Raw genomic sequence first — 21,156 nt, 5'->3', positions numbered from 1 at the left:
TTGCCTCCAGGATGACGAGAGAATAAATTTCTGTTGTTTTAAGCCACCCAATCTGTGGCAATTTGTCATGACTGCCCTAGGAGACTAATATAGACACTCCTATGAGATGCTCTAAGAAGACACAGAGTGGTATAGCTATTGCTAAGACCACACACTGTAGCAGGGAGGAAATCAAATGGAGAAATGCCCCAACTCCCCCTCCTCTCTGATCTCTTGCTGGTGCCTCCCGTTGGCCAAGCCAACCCAGAAGGCAGAAGATGTGGTGGAGGGCAGCGTTGCAGGGCTTGGATGATGCAGTCACAGAAGTCAGCCCTGCCTCTACCAGGATGCCAAACAGGGCAATGAGTGGATATTTTAGGGAGAAAGGGCAACAAGAGAATGGCAAAATACATCGAAATGCATGCAAGCTCTAGAAAGAGGATAGAGATAGATAAAGGGTGATTACCTAGGATTAAGCCCCAGGGAAGACCAACATTTAGAGATTGGATAGAAAAAGAGGAGCAAAAAGGGAAGATTGAGAAGTAGAGACCAGGAGGATAGGAGGAAAACTAGAACAACATTAAGAAGGGCATGGTCAAGTAATCTGGGCACAGAAAAATGGCCCTGGGATTTGGCAGCCTGGGGGTCTTTGGTGATCCTCTTTGGAAGAGTTTTGGTTGAGTGATGGGGGCTAGAAACCAGCCTGGGGAGGGTAGGAGAAGAATGTGCAGTGAGGAAGTGGCAGGAACACGTGAAGGCAACTCTTCATGAAGGGGAGTAGAGAAATTGGTTGGTGGCTGAAGGAAAATTTTCAGTCAAGGGTGGAGGTTTTAATGATGGAAGAATATTGATTTCTGTAAATTGGGTCATTCCCATCCATTATACCAATATGCACGGGTGTCTTCTCTGATATAGGATGCTGGGATTCTCAAATGCCCATTTGAGTTTAGCATCATGAATTTAATGTCACCAGCCCAGATAGTTGATCTCATTCAGGAATGCTCCACTGCCCAGGTATGGGGAAGGCAACTAGTTGAGTTCATGCAGGGATGGATTTTTTCCAGGAGAGAAACAGGAGGCAAGAAAGTGCGATATAATCAACCTATGTAAGGTTGACAAGGCAGGAGAGGGTCCTGAGAAATGGCGGGGTCAGTGGGTTGCAGGGCTCGATGGGATGGACGTTGGTTTGCATTTAAGGGAGTTAGTGAGCTGGGAGGTGGTTAAAGAGGAGGTGGTTCAGCCGGGCGCGGTGGCCCACACCTGTAATCGCAGCACTTTGGGGAGCCGAGGCGGGCGGATCACAAGGTCAGGCGATCGAGACCATCCTGGCTAACACGGTGAAACCCTGTCTCTACTAAAAATACAAAAAAAAAAAAAAAAATTAGCCAGGCGTGGTGGCGGGCGCCTGTAGTCCCAGCTACTCAGGAGCCTGAGGCAGGAGAATGGCGTGAACCCGGGAGGCGGAGCTGCTGTACTCCAGCCTGGGCGACAGGGCGAGACTCCGTCTCAAAAAAAAAAAAAAAAAAAAAAAAAAAAGAGGTGGTTCAAGACAAGGATGCTGGAAACAGGTGTTTTGGAGGTGGCTGGTGTAGCTTCTGAGCATGCATAGCTGGAGTGGCTTGGAGGAGACATTGGTTATTGATGAAGAGGTAGGGACATCCTCCAGTGATCAAGGAAGCAGGGGACCAGCATGGACAATGGTCTCTCCACAGGGAAATTGGAGGTCATCAAATGTTAACAGGTTCCGTCGGAGTCTTAGCTCCCAGCTTCTGTTTTCCTGTGGATCTCAGGATCTTGGCTGCTGGTGCTACCTCTGACTTTGGACTTCCCATTGAGCCCAGCAGCACTGGGAGGGACCTTCATGGCATTGGCTGGTTTAAGGAAGACTTCCTTGGCTTTGCTGACTTTCTTGGGGGCCTTCTTGGCTACACCTGCTTTTGAGGGAGCCCTCCTCACCTCACCTGACTTCTTGGGGGCACCTTTTCCACCTTATCTGAGTTGGGAAGGTCTTTCTTTGATTCTCTTGCTTTCTTGGGGCCCTTCTCACTGGTTTTTCTGGGGGCCATGATGGTGGACATATTCCAGAGCTGAGCTTTCCTTTTGTTCTTAGGAACTAATTTGAGGCTGCCAGTGGCCCCACCTTGGTCTTAGAGTTGATGGTCTGCAGGGAATTTCCAGGTTAAAGGTTTTTTATTTGTTTGTTTAATTTTGAGACAGAGTCTTGCTCTGTCACCCAGGTTGGAGTGCAGCGGCACGATCTTGGCTCACTGCAGCCTCCGCCTCCTGGGTTCAAACAGTTTTCCTGCCTCAGCCTCCTAAGTAGCTGGGATTACAAGCACGCACCACCATGCCCAGCTAACTTTTGTATTTTTAGTGGAGACAGGGTTTCACCATGTTGACCAAGCTGGTCTCAAACTCCTGATCTGAAGTGATCCGGCCACCTTGGCCTCCCAAAGTGCTGGGATTACAGGTGTGAGCCACTGCGCCTGACCTCCAGGTTTAAGTTTAAACCATGAAGTAGATGGACTGTGTAGAGAGAGACCAGGGAAATGGAGGATTTTACTGACCACTGAACAGGGATGTCACTATTGCCAGAGAGGAAAAGGATTCCCCCTTGGTAGAGTGAACATATAAGGGAAAGTGGTTGAAAATTGAATCAGGAGACAGAGACCTCACACCACTCAGAGGTCCCTAGAGAACTTTACTGACCTAGAAAAAAAGATAAACAGGGAGAAGGTCTTCAGTTCTTGTTTGGAATCTGACACTGAAGCATCCTCACTCCTCACTCTCTTCCCGACCCCGAGAGTCTGAAATTGATTAATACTTTTTGTTTAAAACTTGGCTTGTTGTTTTGTTTTTTCTTTCTGTTTTCATCAAGGGATCTTTATTTTACTTTTGTGTATTTGTGTGTTTTCCATGAGTCATGTTAATTCTTCCATGTTTAAACTTTTTGGCCCAGAGGAATTTATACATTTAAATTATGGATTTAATTTCAGAAGGTACATACACACACACACACACACACTCACTCATCTCACTTTTTAAAAACTGTAAAATATAGCCCTGTAAATATCCAGAAAATATCTAATGTGGGCCGGGTATGGTGGCTCATGCCTGTAATCTCAGCACTTTGGGAGGCCGAGGTGGGTGGATCACCTGAGGTCAGGAGTTCGAGACTAGCCTGGCCAACGTGGTGAAACCCTATCCTCACTAAAAATAAAAAAATTAGCTGGGCATGGTGGCAGGTGCCTGTAATCCCAGCTACTCGGGAGGATGAGACAGGAGAATCACTTGAACCCAGGAGGCAGAGGCTGCAGTGAGCCGAGATCACCCCACTGCGCCCCAGCCTGGGCGACAGACTGAGACTCTGTCTCACAAAAAAAAAAAAAGAAAAGAAAAAGTCAGTGTGCATCCCCTCTGACATCCAGCAACTTCACATCTTGGAATTTATGCTGCAGGAAAATTATCACAAGTGCACAAGGATGTATGGTGAGATAGTTATTATTATCATTTTAAAAGATAGGGTCTCACTGTGTCACCCAGGCTGGAGTGCAGTGAAGTGATCACAGCTCACTGCAGCCTTGACCTTCTGGGCTCGAGTGATCCTCGTGCCTCAGCCTCCCCAGTAGCTGGGATTACAGGTGTGAGCCACCATGCCTGGCATCCCCCTTTTTTTAAAAAAAGGTTTTAATTATGAAAAGAATATGGGCTTGTTGTTTTGTGTGGTTTTTTAAAAGCTTAAAAAATGTGTAGTGTGTCATTTAGAAGGTGAAAAGCCCTTACCCCATCCCACCTCCCAGAGATAACCTCTGCTAGCAATTTCGTGTTTGTCTTTCAAATTTTTTCCCACACACATTCTTTGTACTGGCTGCTTCCCCTCCTGGGTTACTCTTCTCCCAGACAGAAACAGGGCTCATTCCCTTGCCTCCTCCAGCTTTTATTAAAACATTAACTTCCCTGTAGCTGGATGCAGTGGCTCACGCCTGTAATCCCAGTGTTTTGGGAGGTGGGGAGGCAGGAGGATAGCTTGAGCCCAGGAGTTTGAGACTAGCCTGGGCAACATAGCGAGACCCATCTCTACAAATAAATAAATAAATAAATAAATAAATAAATAAATAATGGAAATTTAAAAGAGAGAGGGAAGGACTCTTGAAAACCGTCCATATCATGCTTCTCTAAATGGTTGAGGGCTCAGAGGAAAAAAAATCAGCAATTTCACATCACGGAATTTATTCTGCAGAAAAATTCTCACAAGTGCACAAGGATGCGTGGTCAGATGATGATGATGATGATTATTATTATTATTATTGAAGAAAGTAGCAGCAGCAGCAGCAGTATTTTAAAAGACAGAGTCTCGGATGGGCATGGTGGCTCACGCCTGTAATCCCAGCACTTTGGGAGGTTGAGGTGGGCAGATCACTTGAGGTCAGGAGTTCGAGACCAGTCTGGCCAACATGGTGAAACCCCAACTCTACTAAAAATGCAAAAATTAGCCAGGTATGGTGGTGGGTGCCTGCAGTCCCAGCTACCAGGGAGGCTGAGGCACGAGAATAGCTTGAACCCAGGAAATGGAGGCTGCAGTGAGCCAAGATCGTGCCACTGCACTCCATGCACTCCAGCCTGGGTGCTGACCCAGGTTAGGTGCAAGACTCCGTCTTAAAAAAAAAGAAAAGGAAAAAAAAAAAAAAAGGACAGAGCCTCACTGTGTCGCCCAGGGTAAAGTGCAATGAGTAAAGGCCCATGATGGGAACCCTGAGGAGAGAGTCAAGGGGAAAGAAAAAAAAAAAAGCAAAACCAAAATGGAATTTAAAAAAAATCAGGTGCAATTTGCATAACAGAAAATTAACCATTTTAAAGTGAACGGCTCTGTGGCATTTACTGCACTCCAACTGTTATGTAACTACCACCTCTGTCTAGCTCCAGAACATTTTCACCACCCCTAAAGGAGACCTTGTACCCATTAAGCAGTCTCTCTCCTTCTCCCCTCCCCACCACCTTCCTCCAGCCTCTGGCAACCACCCATCTGCATTCTGTCTCTATGGATTTACCTATTCTAGGTAGTCAACAGGATGAGATATCCCAAAAGTCCATCCATGGATGAACAGATAAACCAAGTGTGATATGCCTTCCTCAGATATTAGTCTGCCTTAAAAAGGAATGAAATACTAATCTTTGCTACAACATAGATGAACCTCAAAAATATGATGTGGCTGGACACAGTGGCTTACACCTGTAATCCCAGAACTTTGGGAGGCTGAGGTGGGCGGATCGCTTGAGCCCAGGTGTTCAAGACCACCCTGGGTAACATAGCAAAACTCCATCTCTACAAAACAATTTACAAAAAACTAGCCAGGTGTGGTGACATGTGCCTGTAGTCCCAGCTATTCAGGAGACTGAGGCGAGAGGATCGATTGAGCCCAGGAGGCCGAGGCTGCAGTGAGCCATGATCATACCACTGCACTCCAGCCTAGGCAACAGAGTGAGACCCTATCTCAAAAAACAAAACAAAACAAAACAAAAAAGTTGATGCTGAGTGAAAGAAGCCAGACACAAAAGGCAACATCGTGTTTAATTCCATTTACATGAAATGTCCAATGAAGATTTTTTTTGGCAACATTTATTTTGAGTATAATATTCAGTGAGTGGACCACACATATGCATGCACTGCAGTATGTTCTTGGAAACATTTCAGATTTGAGAGGTCTGTTCAGCTATGATGACGGTAGGTATTGTCCCTTCCCTCCCTCCTTGAAGAAAAGGAACTAAGGCTGGACGCGGTGGCTCATGCCTGTAATCCCAGTACTTTGGGAGGCTGAGGTGGGCAGATCACTTGAGGTCAGGAGTTCAAGACTAGCCTGGCCAACATGGTGAAACCATGTCTCTACTAAAAAATACAAAAAATTAGCCAGGTATGGTGCTGCACGCCTGTAGTCCCAGCTACTCGGGAGGCTGAGGCAGGAGAATTGCTCGCACCCAGGAGGTGGAGGCTGCAGTCAACCGAGATTGCACCATTGCACTCCAGCCTGGGTGGCAGAGCAAGACTCTGTCTCAAAAAGAAAAGAGAAGAGAAGAGAAAAGAAAAGAAACCAAAAGAAAAGGAAAGAAAAGAAAAGGAACCAAGACCTAGAAGGGCAAAAATAGGAAAAGTTGGCCGGGCGCAGTGGCTCACGCCTGTAATCCCAGCACTTTGGGAGGCCAAGGTGGGCAGATCACAAGGTCAGGAGATCGAGACCACCCTGGCTAACACGGTGAAACCCCGTCTCTACTAAAAATACTAAAAATTAGCCGGGCGCGGTGGCAGGCGCCTGTAATCCCAGCTACTCGGGAGGCTGAGGCAGGAGAATGGCGTGAACCTGGGAGGCGGAGCTTGCAGTGAGCCGAGATAGCACCACTGCAGTCTGGCCTGGGCGAAAGAGCAAGACTCGGTCTCTAAAAAAAAAAAAAAAAAAAAAATTGGAAAAGTTATTTACTATTAGCAGCAATTGTCATAAAGTAATGAACATTTATTGCATGATTACAATGAGATAAATTGTATCCTGTTTTTATAAGCATATTAAGTTTTCTTTTTTAAAAAAATGTATGTATTTATTTATTTTAAGAGATAGGGTCTTGCTCTGTTGCCCAGACTGGAGTGCCATGGTATGATCATAGCTCAATGCAGCCTCAAATTCCCAGGTTCAAGCAATCTTCTTGCCTCAGTCTCTCGAGTAGCTAGGACTACAGGCATGTGCCAACATGCCTGGCTAGTTTTCTTATTTTTAAATGTATTTTTGTAGAGACAGGATCTTGCTGTGTCGCCCAGGCTGTCCTCAAACTCCTGGCCTCAAGCGATCCTCTGCCTTGGCCTCCCAAAGGGCTGAGATGATAGGCATCTACCTCTGCATTTGGCCCACATTAAATTTTCTAGTCATCATGGGAACCAAAATAAACAATATAAAACACTCACATTCCTTGAGCACTTACTATATGCAGGGCCCTGTAATAGATTATTGTGTGTATCAGCTCATTCCATTCTCACACAACCTATGAGGTTGATGCTATTTTCTACCTTTTATATATGAGGAAACTGAGGCTCAGAGAAGGAAACTGCCTTGCCCAAGGTCAAGGCCACGTCTGATCCCCAAATCCTTTCAACTCCTCTGCACTACTATTTTTTAGTGCAGATATTGCCAGTTTTCTAAGCAGAAGCATGATTTAGCAGCCCTGAGTAGACTTCTCATTTCAGAACCAAAGTGTTGGACATTGTTGGATAATATGAAAAACAAATGACACACAAACCTATTTGATACTGTTTTTAATTTTCTCTTCATTTGATTTTCCTGATGACATGATTAATCTTTTTTGCCTCTACCCTGTATGTGAAATGTAGGTCTTTGCAGATGTCTCAGAGAGTGTTAATAGTTGCTGCTGGTTTTGTTTTCTCTCCCCGGGGATTCCCATCCCTGGGTGCAAGTGAAATTAAACTTGTGCCTCTTTGCCGCTGGCCGTGGTGCTGAAAACATCCCGGGCAGCGCTAGGGTTGCCCTTGTTAGCATGCCATCCCTGCTAAGAGTCTTAGGCTGATCAGCGAGTGGAGAGATCTTTTCCAGGCTTCATTTTGGTTAGAACTGTGTGTTGAAGATTTTAAAGCCCATGTCTGGGAACTGGAGACTGTTTGGATTGTTTGAAGTTGAAATAGTCATGAATAATTCCTACTTGAGATGGGCTTATGAGGGCGTGGACTAGCATGCAATGGTTGGCCTTTACTAAACTGTGGCCATTGGTTGGGACTTGGGTGAGGTGTAACCCATTTGGTCTAATCCATATGGTTAGGGCCCCAAGTGCACCTGCATTCTATTTTTTTTTTTTTTTAAATAAAGGCAAACCCATCTATCTTCTAACCAGGATAGCTCCTGAGTGGTCTTTGGGGACCACCAGCTTAAAAGCATAGACTGTGGGCTGGGCACAGTGGCTCATACCTGTAATCCCAGCACTTTGAAAGGCCAAGGTGAGAGGATCGCTTGAGCCCAGGAGTTCAAGACCAGCCTAGGCAACATGGTGAGACCCTCATCTCTACAAAAATGTTAAAAGTTAGCCAGGTGTGTTGGCATGCACCTATAGTCCCAGCTACTCAGGAGGCTGAAGTGGGTGGATCGCTTGAGCCTGGGAGGTCAAGGCTACAGTGAGCTGTGATCGTGCCACTGTATTTCACCCTGGGCAACAGAGCAAGACCCTAACTCAAACAAACAAACAAAAAAAGGCATAGACTGTGGAGTTGGGCAGACCTGGGTGTGAGCCCCAGCTCTGCCAGTACCTCCTATGTGACCTTGAAAATTTGTTTAATCTCTCTGAGCCTGGATTTTCTTGTGTGGAAAATGAGGCTTACCACAGAACCCACCTTGTAGAAATGTTGCAAGGAATTAACTGAAACAAAGTGCTTACCACGGTATCTGCCCAAAGAAGCAGTTGGAAACAAGGCAGCTGTAATTATGGTCGCTGTGCTTGTTAATGGCCCCATAATAGTTGATCATATTGCAGAGTGAAATTGGGGTATGTGTTTAATGGACCAAGGAATATGTCTTAAACCCATATATCTAGGGTTCTGGTACCCTCTACTCTTTTTCCTGGTGATTGTGATGAGCATGGAACTTACATGAAAATGAGGTCTGTTTGGCTTCTTCACACAAGCTCAATGACCTGGCTAACTGCTACAAGTATCTGTTTCCTTAGAACCCACCCATCAGCAGTCCCCATAGTGGAGACAAGGTCACAAAGAGTTGACAAACCTGATTTGATTTCCGCACCAACCACAGGAGGCTTGAAATGAGATGAGGGTGAAGGGCACCACAGAGGGATGCAAGGATTACTTGGACACTGCAAGGTCTTGCTAAGGGATGGGAACCATCAGCCACGCCCACTTTGAGAATTTTCCTTCATGTTCTGAATCTGAAGAGCAAGGTCCTGTTCTCAGATGCAAGCCCTCCTTCTTCCCTACGCAGAGTCAAACTTGGTCTTTTCCAGGGTCACATACAGCCTCTCTCTGGGGCCTCTGCAGGTCCTGATCAATTTCATTGTGTATAGAGCTCTGTGTCTCCTCACCTGCCTGCAGGGCTGTCTGCTATCCTGACTTCCGAGAGCCATTTCGGAAGCCAGCTTTTCCTCCCATCAGGGATGCTTCTCTTCTTTCAGCCCCCGCCCCGCTTTGGCCTCCTAGGATGGCTGATTTTTCTGGATCCCGCTGACACAGGTGCTTTCTCTCCGAGCCAATCAGGGAGCAGAAAGGCTCAGCTCAGCTAACAGAGGCATTGCTCACCGCAGCTGTGAGTTAGAACTCAGGCTTTCTAAATCGGGAGGATCAGGCATGACTTGAGGTTGGGCTGAGAAAGCCTCGCCTGCCCCCCAGCTCGACTACCCAGTGAAACCTTTGGCTTCTGCCTCGGGCGAGGCATCTCTTACCATGCCAAGAACTCAGCAGCCCATCTTTCTTTCATCTGGGCACCAAGTACATCATTGCATATTTCAGGGGGTTTCATTGTGTCCTTAACATGCTCATGGAGACTTGGCTTGAGATGAAGTCGGGGTTTCTAGGCAGCAGGACCCATGTCCCCTTCCTTCATTTCCTCCACCGGTGATTTTTGTTTTGTTTTGTTTTGTTTTGTTTTGTTTTGTTTTGTTTTTGAGACGGAGTCTCGTTCTGTTGTCCAGGCTGGAGTGCAGTGGCGTTATCTCGGCTCACTGCAAACTCTGCTTCCCGGGTTCAGGTGATTCTCCTGCCTCAGCCTCCCAAGTAGCTGAGATTACAGGCGTCTGCCACTATGCCCAGCTAATTTTTGTATTTTTAGTAGAGACGGGGTTTCACCATGTTGGCCAGGCTGGTCTCGAACTCCTGACCTCTGGTGATCCACCCGCCTCGGCCTCCCAAAGTGCTGGGATTACAGGTGTGAGCCACCGCACCAGGCCCTTCCACTGGTGTTTTTTGAGCATCTACTATATAGAGAATGCTCTCCTGGGCACAGAGGATGAAGCAGTGAACAAAGTAGACAAAAAATCCCCACGTGCATAGAGTGTGCAGTCTCGTGGGAGAGACAGGGAACAAGATAAAGAAGGAAAAAAATAGCAGATGCTTGACTGGGGACGGGGACTAAAGAAAGAAAAAAATAAGCAGGCTAAGGGGGTTGATGGATGTGACCTTTGAGTAAAGGCCTAAAGGAAGTGAGGGAGGGAGTCATGTGGATGTCTGGGGAAAGACTATTCCAGGAGAATGAACAGCAGGTACAAAGGCCCCTGGGTACAAATGTGCCTGGGGAGTTTGGGGAATAAAAGGGAGGCCGGCGTTGCTGTAGCTGAGTGACTAAGGGAGAGAATAGAGGAGATGAGGGGAGGGAGGTAATGGGAGCAGGTCATGCACCTTGCTGGTGCTGGAAGGACTTTGTTTTTGCTTTTGAGTGAGATGGGATCCATGGGAAGGCTTTGAATACTTCCACATGCATTAGGCTGAAATTTTCTTTTCTGCTTTTGTCGCATTCCAACATTGCTTTTATTTCATCAAAATCTTCGGTTTCTTCTCAGGCTCTTTACCCAAGTGGGAGCAGAAGGCTGGTACCCAGGGCTGTTCAGTTCTCCCCCTGGGGTCAGAACGTGGAGGAGAAAGCTTGGAGGAGAAACAGGAACCCCCACCTCTTTCTGGATGACTCAAAACCGCAATTACCTGAGCTCCTCCTCCTATCCCTGAAATAGAGGCACTTAGCACTTCCTAAACTTCCCGGTGCACACAAATCCCCTGGCGATCTTTTTAAATGCAGGTTCTGACTCAGCAGGTGGATGCAAGGTCTAAGGCTGCATTCCTAACCGGTGCTGGTTCTGGGACCACACTTTGAGTAGCAAGGGTCTGAGGTCATTGTTGCAGATGTCCATCTGGGGCATGTCTGTGGACACTTGCGGGGGTGCGGGTGAGCAGAGGGAGGGGGGATGATGTTGGAAAAGCAGTGTGAGTATCTGTGTTTGATAAGAAGTAAGAAAATGAAGCAAGGTGGGAGAGTAGAACCTCTTTATTTTTGCCTACGTGCTAAGGTTTTATTGCCATACCCAGAGAGCCCTGGGTCTGAAATCCAGGCAACACTGGCCAGTTGAAACCCTGATATTGCAGCCCATAAAAGTGCTGCATGCTGCATGGTGGACTTCTGGGACTCTTCCTGGAACCTTCAGTGCCAGAGCCGGTCCAAAGGAAGTCACATCCCTGCCATTGAGGGGCAGGAGACCAGGGAACCGGAGGAGTGGGATGGCAGAAGCGCGTGTAAGGAGGCTGAGTTGGCAGGGAGAGAAAGCGAAGTCAGCTTCAAATCATAGCGAGAGGAGACCAGGGAAGGGCTTGGCGTTGCTGCTCTGTGTACAAATATTGTCTCTTATTTTCCAGGCTGCAGGGTGAGGCAGAGTGGAGTATTTGTGCAACACAGCCCAGCTTTGTTCTCTGGGCTCCTAATGCCTGTCAGCTCAGAGGCAGAAAGCCAATCAGAGATGATCGTCGGCAAGGCCGGCTTTTGTTGGCTCCCCAAATTGCCCTGAGTCTCGGATTTTGCTTTTCAGAGTGTGCTTTCAGCTGGAGGCAAAGGCTGAAGCTGGTGACAAAAGGAAGCCTGGTTTTCCTGGCTTTCCGAGACTTTTACTGAGGGGGTTTCTATTTCAGACTCCGTTTTCCCACCTGGAAAGCAGGTTCCACTCTCCCTCCGGCCTGGAAGGGATGGTTTTATGGTGCTTCCAAAATGCCAAACCTAACTCCAGGGCAGAAGAGGAGACTGAAACCAATTAATTTTCCAAAGGTTAGAGCTACGAGGAGGGGAGAGGTTTAGCATGGTCAAGTTCCCCAAGACATACTAATTGATCTCTCTACAGAATGCGGGATTTCAGTGCCCCCAGGGGACACTCAGCAATGTTTAGAGACCACTTGAGGTTGTCATCACTGGACAGGAGGGGCTGCTACTGGCATCTAGCACACACAGGCCAGGGATACTGTTGAACATGCTGCAGTGCCCAGACAGCCCCACCAAGGAGAATGATCCACCCCTAAACCTAGTGCTGAGGTTGGGAAATCCTGCTCCGGAGTAACCAACACCCTATGGCTTTTTCACTCAAGCAGCCGCTTCTCCAGCGCTTACACCTCCTCAGAGATTGCCAGATCCATATGCAGAGCCTGTTGGCGTGGGACACTTCTGAGGGGTGTGGCAGGGAGACAGCGGACATTCCCATTTACCAGCTGATCAGCAGGTTAGGAGCTAATATGAAATGAACAAGATAGACCCTCCCCACCTGCCCTGCAGATCCTCTGGTGGGACACTAGGGAGGGAGGCCTCCTAAACCCAAATGACAGTTCCCAGGATGCAGGGAGGAGTTTACCTATGCAAACTGGAGAGAATGCAAATGGGGCATCTAGAGATACTTACTGGACGACCCCTCCCCTGCCTCGGGTCTTGGAAGAACAGATTCTCAGAGGTCTGCCCTGATCACTGTAATTTTTTTTTTATTGAGGTAAAATTAATATAACACAATTAACCATTTTAAAGTGACATTTAGGGCTGGGCACAGTGGCTCATGCCTGTAATCCCCGCACTTTGGGAGGCTGAGGAAGAAAGGTCGCCCAGGAGTTCAAGACCACCCTGGGCAACAAAGTAAGACTCTGTCTCTTACAAAAAAAAAATTAGGCACACATGGTGTTGTGCACCTGTAGTCCCAGCTACTCAGGAGGCTGAGGCAGGAGGATCGTTTGAGCCTAGGAATTCAAGGCTGCGGTGAGCTATGATCATGCCACTGCACTCCAGCCTGGGTGACAGAGCAAAATTGTGTTTCTTTAAAAAAATAAAAGTAAAAATAAATAAGAAAAGAAAGGAGAGGGGAGGGGAGAGGCGTTTAGTACACTCACAATGTTGTGTAACTGTCACCTTCATCTAGTTCTAAAACATTAAGCAGCCACTCCCATTTCCCTTGCCATTCCCCAGGAACAACAAATCTGCTGTCTGTCTCTGGATTTGCCTGTTCGGGATATTTCATATACATGGAATCATACAATATGGGGTATTTTATGTCTGCTTCTTTCGCTTGGCATAATGTTTTCAAGGTTCATTCCTGTTCTATCATGTATCAGTACTTCATTCCTTTTTTTTTTTTTTTTTTGAAACGGAGTTTTGCTTTTGTTGCCCAGGCTGGAGTGCAATGGCACAATCTTGGCTCACTGCAACCTCCGCCTCCCGGGTTCAAGCAATCCTCCTGCCTCAGCCTCCTGAGTAGCTGGGATTACAGGCATGCGCCACCACACCCAGCTAATTTTGTACTTTTTTTAGTAGAGATGGGGTTTCTCCATGTTGGTCATGCTGGTCTTGAACTCCCAACCTCAGGTGATCTGCCTGCCTCGGCCTTCCAAAGTGCTGGGATTACAGGCGTGAGCCACTGCACCCGGCCTACTTCATTCCTTTTTATGGCTGAATACTATTCCATTCTATGAGTAGACCACATTTTGTTTATCCATTCACCCACTGGTGAAATTTAGGTTGTTTCCATCTTTTGGCTGTTGTGAATAGTGCTGCTGTGAATATTTGTGTATGAGTGTTCGTTGGAATACCTGTCTTACGATCCTTTTGTGTTTATACCTTGGAGTGGAGTTACTGTGTGTCACATGGTAACTCTGTGATTAACTTTTTGAGGAACCAAGGAATGGTTTTCTATGGCAGTTGCACTGGTGTTTTTTTGTTGTTGTTGTTTTTGTTGTTGTTGTTTTGAGACAGGGTCTCACTCCCATTGCCCAGGCTGGAGTGCAGTGGTGCAGTCATGGTTCACTGCAGCCTCAACCTCCTGGGGCTCAAGCAATCCTCTCTCCTCAGCCTCCCAAGTAGCTGGCACTACAGGCCTGCGCCACTATGCCCGGCTAATTTTTCATATTTTTTGTAGAGATAGAGTCTCAGTTTGTTGCCTAGGCTGGTCTCGGACTCCTGTGCTCAAGTAATCCTCCTACCTCGGCCTCCCAAAGTGCTGGGATTACAGGCATGAGCCACCGCATCTGGCCAGCTACACCATTTTATATTCCCACCAGCATGAGGGTTTCAATTTCTTCACATCTTCACCAACACTTGTTTTCTGTTTGTTTGTTTGTTTTTAATAGCTATCCTAGTGGATGTGAAGCAGTATCCCGTTGGGGTTTGATTTGCACTTCCCTGATCACTAATACCCTCATGTACATATTGGCCATTTGACTGTCTTCTTTGGAGAAATGTCTATTCCAGCCTCCTGTCCATTTTTCAATTGGATTATCTTTTTGTTGTTGTGTTGTAAATGTTCTCTCTTTATTTTTTATTTTTTTGAGACAGAGTCTCGCTCTGTCGCCCAGGCTGGAGTGCAGTGGCACGATCTTGGCTCACTGCAAGCTCCGCCTCCCAGGTTCACGCCATTCTCCTGCCTCAGCCTCCCGAGTAGCTGGGACTACAGATGCCCGCTACCACGCCCGGCTAATTTTTTGTATTTTTTTAGTAGAGATAGGGTTTCACCGTGTTAGCCAGGATGGTCTCGATCTCCTGACCTCATGATCCACCCGCCTTGGCCTCCCAAAGTTCTGGGATTACAGGCGTGAGCCACCACACCTGGCCGTAAATGTTCTTTATATAGTACTAGACCCTTATCAGATACATGATTTGCAAATAGCTTCTCCTATTCTGTTACTTGCCTTTTAACTTTCTTGATAACGTCCTTTGATGCACAAAAGGTTTAAATTTTGATAAAGCCCAGCATATCTGTTTTTTCTTCTGTGGATCATGCATTAGGTGTCAAATCTGATCATAATGTTTTATTTATTTATTTACTTATTTATTTATTATTTTATTTATTTTTGAGATGGAGTCTTGCTCTGTTGCCCAGGCTAGAGTGCAGTGGCATGATCTCGGCTCACTGCAACCTCCACCTCCCAGGTTCAAGCGATTCTCCTGCCCCGGCCTCCCAAGTAGCTGGGACTACAGGTGTGTACCACCACGCCTGGCTAATTTTTGTATTTTTAGTAGAGACAGGGTTTCACCATGTTGGCCAGGCTGGTCTCAAAGTCCTGACCGCAAGTGATCCACCCACCGCAGCCTCTATCTATTTTTAATTTATCTCTTTTTTTTTTTTTTTTTTTGAGACAGGGCCTCCTTCTGTCACCCAGGCTGGAGTGCAGTGGTATAGTCATTGTACACTGCAGCCTCTACCTCCTCGGCTCAAGCAATTCTCTCGCCTCAGCCTCCCAAGTACCTGGGACCACAGGTGCCTGCCATCATGCTGGCCCTGCCACCATATTTGAAATTGCAGCCCTGACCCCTTCCACTGTCTATAGTCTTCACCATCTTACTACATAACATAGCATATATGATGTACTGTATAACATGGTATATGCAGTGTACTGTATAGCATAGTATACATGATGTAGTCATCTCATTTATTTGCTTCTCCTCTGGGAAGCAGGAGGAAGCTTCTCCTCTTGTCTGCTTTGCTCTCAACTGTGTCCCTAGCCCAGAACAGAGTCTGGCACACAGCAGGTACTGAATGAATATGTGTTCAGTGAATATTGTGGGTGAGATAGAAGGTGAATATCCACATTTCCCTTTAGAAGTCACCTGATCTGGGTTTGAGATCTGCAGGGATCTACTCCAGACAGGAGAACGAATAATTCCACCTGTGCTGATGAGTTGGAAGGATCTAGAGGGCTTGAGATCTTTCCACTGGGGTCAGTGGGGGTGGGTGCACCTCCAACACCCTTCTTTTCTTTGAACAAGATTTTTCCTTAATTCCCCAATACTCCCTTTGAATATATGATTTTAGCCACCATCATAGCGAATTGCATCGTCCTCGCACTGGAGCAGCATCTGCCTGATGATGACAAGACCCCGATGTCTGAACGGCTGGTGAGTGATGTCTTTTCTCAGGGTCTTCTCCTTGGCTTTAGCAGGACATTAATTTTTGGGGGAGTGGAGCAGGGCACAGAGGAGGCTCTCAGTCCTGGAGCCCAGAGCCAGATCATGGGAAGCCTAAATTTCCTTTTCATTTTTTCTTGAACCAGAGTCTCGCTCTGTCACCCAGGCTGGAGTGCAGTGGTTCAGTCATAGCTCACTGCAGCCTCCACCTCCTGGGCTCAAGCCATCCTCCCACTGCAGCCTCCTGAGTAGCAGGGACTACAGGTGCCACCATGCCCAGTTAATTTTCTTATTTTTATCTTTTTTTGTAGAGATGGGGATCTCACTAGGTTGCTTAGGCTGGTCTCAAACTGCCCACTTTGGCATCTGACATAATTTCAGGCAGTATACTCAAATGAACATTGTTAATGTTAATAATTATGTCTTGGCCAGACACTGTAGCTCATGCCTGTAATCCCAGCAGTTTGGGAGGCCAAGGCAGGTAGATCACTTGAGGTCAAGAGTTCGAGACCATCCTGACCAACATGGTGAAAGCCCGTCTCTACTAAAAAAATACAAAATTAGCTGGATATGGTGGTGCACACCTGTAATCCCAGCTACTTGGGAGGCTGAGGCAGGAGAATCGCTTGAACCCGGGAGGCAGAGGTTGCAGTAAGCCAAGATCGCACCATTGCACTCCAGTCTGGGCAACAGGAGTGAAACTCCATCTTGGTGGGGGGGAGGCGAAAAAAAAGAAACAAGAATATTACAAAGGATACAGATGAAGAGATGCAAAGGGTGAGATATAGGAGAAGGGTGTGGCTGGCAGCTTCTAGGTAGCTTCAGGAGGGGGACTGGTCACCAGAAAGACCAAGGCATGATTCGAGGGTTGCGACTTTCAGCCCCACCCCCCAACCTCTGGGAGGGCAGAGGGGCTGAAAATCAAGTTGATCACCAACGGTCAATGATTTAAATCCAAACCTCTAATCATGCCTTGGTTTTCCCGGTGACCAACCCCCATCCTGAAGCTACCTAGAAGCTGCCAGCCATCAGTCAATCCTTAGCCTGCAAAAAGACATCCCTTTGGAGATCCCAAGGGTTTTAGGAGCTGTACACCAGGAAACAGTGTCAAAGACCAAACATACATTTCACAATGTCACAGTCTTCTAAAAACTATAACTAGCCTAGCAAACCTATGATTTCTAGATCTTTGCATTTTCACTTAAAATAAAGCTAAATAAAAAGCGTCCATTGAAAGACTGGTAAGCAAGTAGAAGTACCAGTGGCAAGCTAATGTGGAAAAAAAAAATCATTCAGGCAGAGTGAAAATGATTGTAGCTCGAGAAACGTTGCTGTAACAGATGGGAAAACATTCACATTGGGGCTCTGATGGAGAAGAGCTTGTAGCTTAATTTCAAATATGATAGATTAGCAGCTGGAAGCCAGAACCAGCCGGAGGTTCTGCAGAGGAACTGGAGGTGAGGATACTGGCCACTTATCAGCCAGTACAGAAGTCCTATTCCAAACCTTTAACAATCTACATGCCAGCTGAGAACCATCCTAAGGGGTCAGATTTAGGAGTGAGGTCAATGCACAAGCTCTAGCCTCAAATACCTTGAACGCTGCATGTGACAAGTAAATTCTCTAAACCAATGCTTTCCATTAGAACTTTCTGCAGTCACAGAAATGATCTCCATCTGCCCTGTCCAATAGGATTGTCACTTGAAATGTAGCCAGTGTGACTGCAGAACTGTGTTTTTTATTTTATTGCATTTAAATTAATTTTAATTGAAATAGCCACATGTGGCCTGTGACTGTCGTATTGAATAAGACAGGTGCAAACAAATAATTCTGTTTAGCTGAGTGATATGTGAGGTTGGCCCAAAAGGAATGAAGGAGGAAGGTGCCTTCTCTAGGCATTGGCTTTGCTCGCAAAAGGCTTTGGACAAGAGAACTCTGCAAGAGGCAGTGAGGGGTGGTGAGTGCAGGAGGGTCAGGGGAAGTGAGAGGGTGATAGGTACTGATTTCTAGGTGGGCTGGTTCCCTGATCTTGTCAACATCTGCCCAGCCCAAGACGCTGACCTTGCCTTCTCTCCCTTCCAGGATGACACAGAACCATACTTCATTGGAATTTTTTGTTTCGAGGCTGGAATTAAAATCATTGCCCTTGGGTTTGCCTTCCACAAAGGCTCCTACTTGAGGAATGGCTGGAATGTCATGGACTTTGTGGTGGTGCTAACGGGGTAAGTGGCGCGTGCTATACGCTTTGGATTTAACTAGCTGAAGGATTACGAGGCTTTTGGTTGGTGTGGTCCGGGCCAGGCTCAGGAAGGCTGAGCCCTTGTGTTCTCCCTCCCCTTGTTATGCGCCTGCCTCCTTTCTGCCAACACCCCACCTCCATGTCTCAGCTGTATATTACAGCAGATGCTTTCTGTTACAATTAAAATAATAGCTCATTATTGTTGGCTGCTTCCAGAGTGCTTTATGCCCATTCTCTAATTTAATCCTTGCAACAACCCACTGAATTAGGAAATATTAATATTCCCATCTGACCACTGAGGAATCAGAAACTCAGAGTGTAACTTGCTTAAGGCCACCCAGCAAGTAAGTGATGGAACTGGGAGATGAACAGAAGATTATGCATTCCAGAACTCAAGGTTTTAAGTGTTGTACGTGCATGGGTCTCTTGATTTGCTTGAGGATATCTTGCTTTTATTTCAACTTGGTGAATGTTTTTTGAGAATGTCTGGGTGCAAGGGATTGTGATTATGACAAAGGAGAAAAGCAAGCTAAATAAGGTACAGTTACTGTCTTCAAGGAGTTTTCAGATCCATATATGATGAACTGTGGTTGAAATGTGTATATGCTTTCCTCTAAGCACCCTGTATGAGGTAGCACTTGCTGGTATAACAAAAGATCCAAAGCTAGGAAATGACTTAAACACGGCAGAAGTTTATTTGTCACTCATAGAAAATTCAAAATTGAGCTGGGTGTGGTGGTGCATGCCTGTAATCTCAGCACTTTGGGAGGCTGAGGTGGGAGGATCACTTGAGCTCAGGAGTTCAAGACCAGCTTGGGCAACACAGTGAGACCACCCCCCCATCTGTAAAACATAAAATAAAATAAAAATTAACCAGGCATGGTGGTACATGCCTGGGAGAATTGCTTGAGCTCAGGAGTTGGAGGGCACAGTGAGCTATGATCATCCAACCGTGCTCCAGCCTGGGCAACAGAGCAAGACCCCATCTCGAAAAAAAAAAGTCCAAAATAATTGTTCCTAGTTGACAGGCTCATCTCCTCCAATGACTGACGGACCCTGACCCTTGCCATATTGTGGCTCTTCATTGTCAGCCCACATCATCCAATAACTCCATGCTTGTCTGTATCAAACCAGGAAGGAGAAGTGAGCATAGAAGGTGATACTTGGAAAGGTTTATGAGTTTGGAAGGGGTGTGACCCATACCTGTTCCATTCATATCCTATTGGCTAGAACTCGGTCACATGACCACACATCACTGCAAGGGAAGCTGGGAAGTATCAGATTGTGCTTAGAAGAAAAGGGAAATGGATTTGGAGAATGACCTACTAGTCTGTCAGGGACCTTAAAAACTTTTATTAGATTCCAGTAGGGACATTAGTATCTGGTACCAATGGCTGGTTCCTCCTCTTCCCACTCTCTACTCTCCTCTCAGCTAAGTCTGGGCTCTTCTATTCTAAGACCCTTCTTCACTGGACACCTTTTTCATAGTAATCATTTACAGGATCATAGCTTTCCATGTTTTGTTGCTGCTCCAGGTTCTGTCTCTCTTGGCGGATGTGATGGGTTGCAGCACCCACACTGTGCTGGCCGGGCTCTCACAATGCAGATTTGTTTCAGAGCAATGTTGCCTCTCACAGAAGGAGCTGTGGCCTATTGGGCTGTTTCTGTAGAGGCCTTCAGATGTCAGCAGTCTGTTGTAAGGACTCTGGGCTAGCTCTCATGGGCTTGGGTGTTCACAGAGGGATCTTTGTTGGCTGTGCTCACAGTTCGGTGGCTTGGGACCTTGGTGGGTTCCAAGGGCATATTATGGTACTGGGCACTTTTCTCTTAGTCTACTAGGAAACTCATCTAGAAACAGCCTAGTGGCTAACTTTTTTATTGTTTAAAAAATGTAAAGCTGGGCAGGGTGGCTCATGCCTGTATCCCAGCACATTGGGAGGCCAAGGTGGGAGGATTGCTTGGGCCCAGGAGTTTGAGACGAGCCTGAGCAACATAGCAAGACCACATCTCCACAAAATAAAAATTAAAAGTGTATAAAGCTGGGTACAGTGGCACATGCCTGTAACCCCAATTACTCAGGAGGCTGGAGAGAGAGGATTGCTTGAGCCTAACTAGTTTGAGACCAGCTTGGGTAACCTAGCAAGATCCCATGCAAAACTAAGTAGAGAATAATAGAGCAAACACCTGTGTATACATTCATTTATTCAATGACTATTTATTGAACACTTCTGTGTGCCAGGTCCTGTTCTAGGCTCTGGGACACAGCAGTAAACAAAATAGAAAAATCCCCTGTCCTCATGGAGCTGAGAGTCTACTGATGGAGATGGACACAATTGATGAATGAATCTAGTGTGTCAGATGGCGGTGAGGGGTACAGAGGAAAAATAAAGCAGGGGAGGGATGGGATGTGTGGCAGGCAGGGGTGAGGGGTGCTGGAAGCCAGGGAAGACTTCACTGGGCATGTGACATCTGAATGAAAACCTAAGGGAGGTGAGTGAGTGAGCCATGAGGAGAGCTGGAACAGAGTGTCAGGCAAAGGGAACAGCCAGTGCAAAGGCTCTGAGGCTGGACTGTATCTGACATGTTTGATCAACAGTAAGAAGACCCACATGGCTAGAGAAGGTGACCAGAAGAATGGGGAGAATTGGGGATAGAGAAGTAATGGAGTAACCTGCTATCAAAACACAACCTTTCTCTTTTTTTTTTTTTTTTTTTTTTTGACAAGAGTCTCCCTCTGTCACCCAGGCTGGAGTGCAGTGGTACAATCTCAGCTCACTGCAGCCTCTGCCTCCCAGTTTCAAGTGATTCTCCTGCCTCAGCCTCCCAAGTAGCTTGGATTACAGGCGTGTACCACAACATCTAGCTAATTTTTGTATTTTTAGTAGAGACGGGTTTACGCCATGTTGGCCAGGCTGGTCTTGAACTCCTGACCTCAAGTGATCCACCTGGCATGGCCTCCCAAAGTGCTGGGATTACAGGCGTAAGCCACTGTGCCCAGCAAAACAAAACCTTTCTAACCTTTCTAATCCCTGTTTTCTC

At 46.6% G+C, this 21,156-nt stretch overlaps 1 protein-coding gene across 5 annotated transcripts in view; it reads left to right on the top strand.

The window, feature by feature from the left end:
• CACNA1A (calcium voltage-gated channel subunit alpha1 A) overlaps positions 1-21,156 on the top strand; it is a 300,038-nt gene that overhangs the window by 35,504 nt on the left and 243,378 nt on the right. For all 5 annotated transcript variants that reach the window (NM_001127222.2, NM_001127221.2, NM_001174080.2 and 2 more), the window contains exons 2-3: positions 15,764-15,869; positions 17,961-18,100. In NM_001127222.2, the coding sequence (NP_001120694.1) occupies positions 15,764-15,869; positions 17,961-18,100 (246 nt within the window). The remainder of the gene's footprint in view (positions 1-15,763; positions 15,870-17,960; positions 18,101-21,156) is intronic.

This window comes from Homo sapiens, chromosome 19, assembly GCF_000001405.40.
Source record: "Homo sapiens chromosome 19, GRCh38.p14 Primary Assembly".
NCBI lineage: Eukaryota > Metazoa > Chordata > Mammalia > Primates > Hominidae > Homo > Homo sapiens.
Note: the sequence above shows the minus strand (reverse complement) of the source record. Positions and strands in the feature narration are given on the sequence as shown.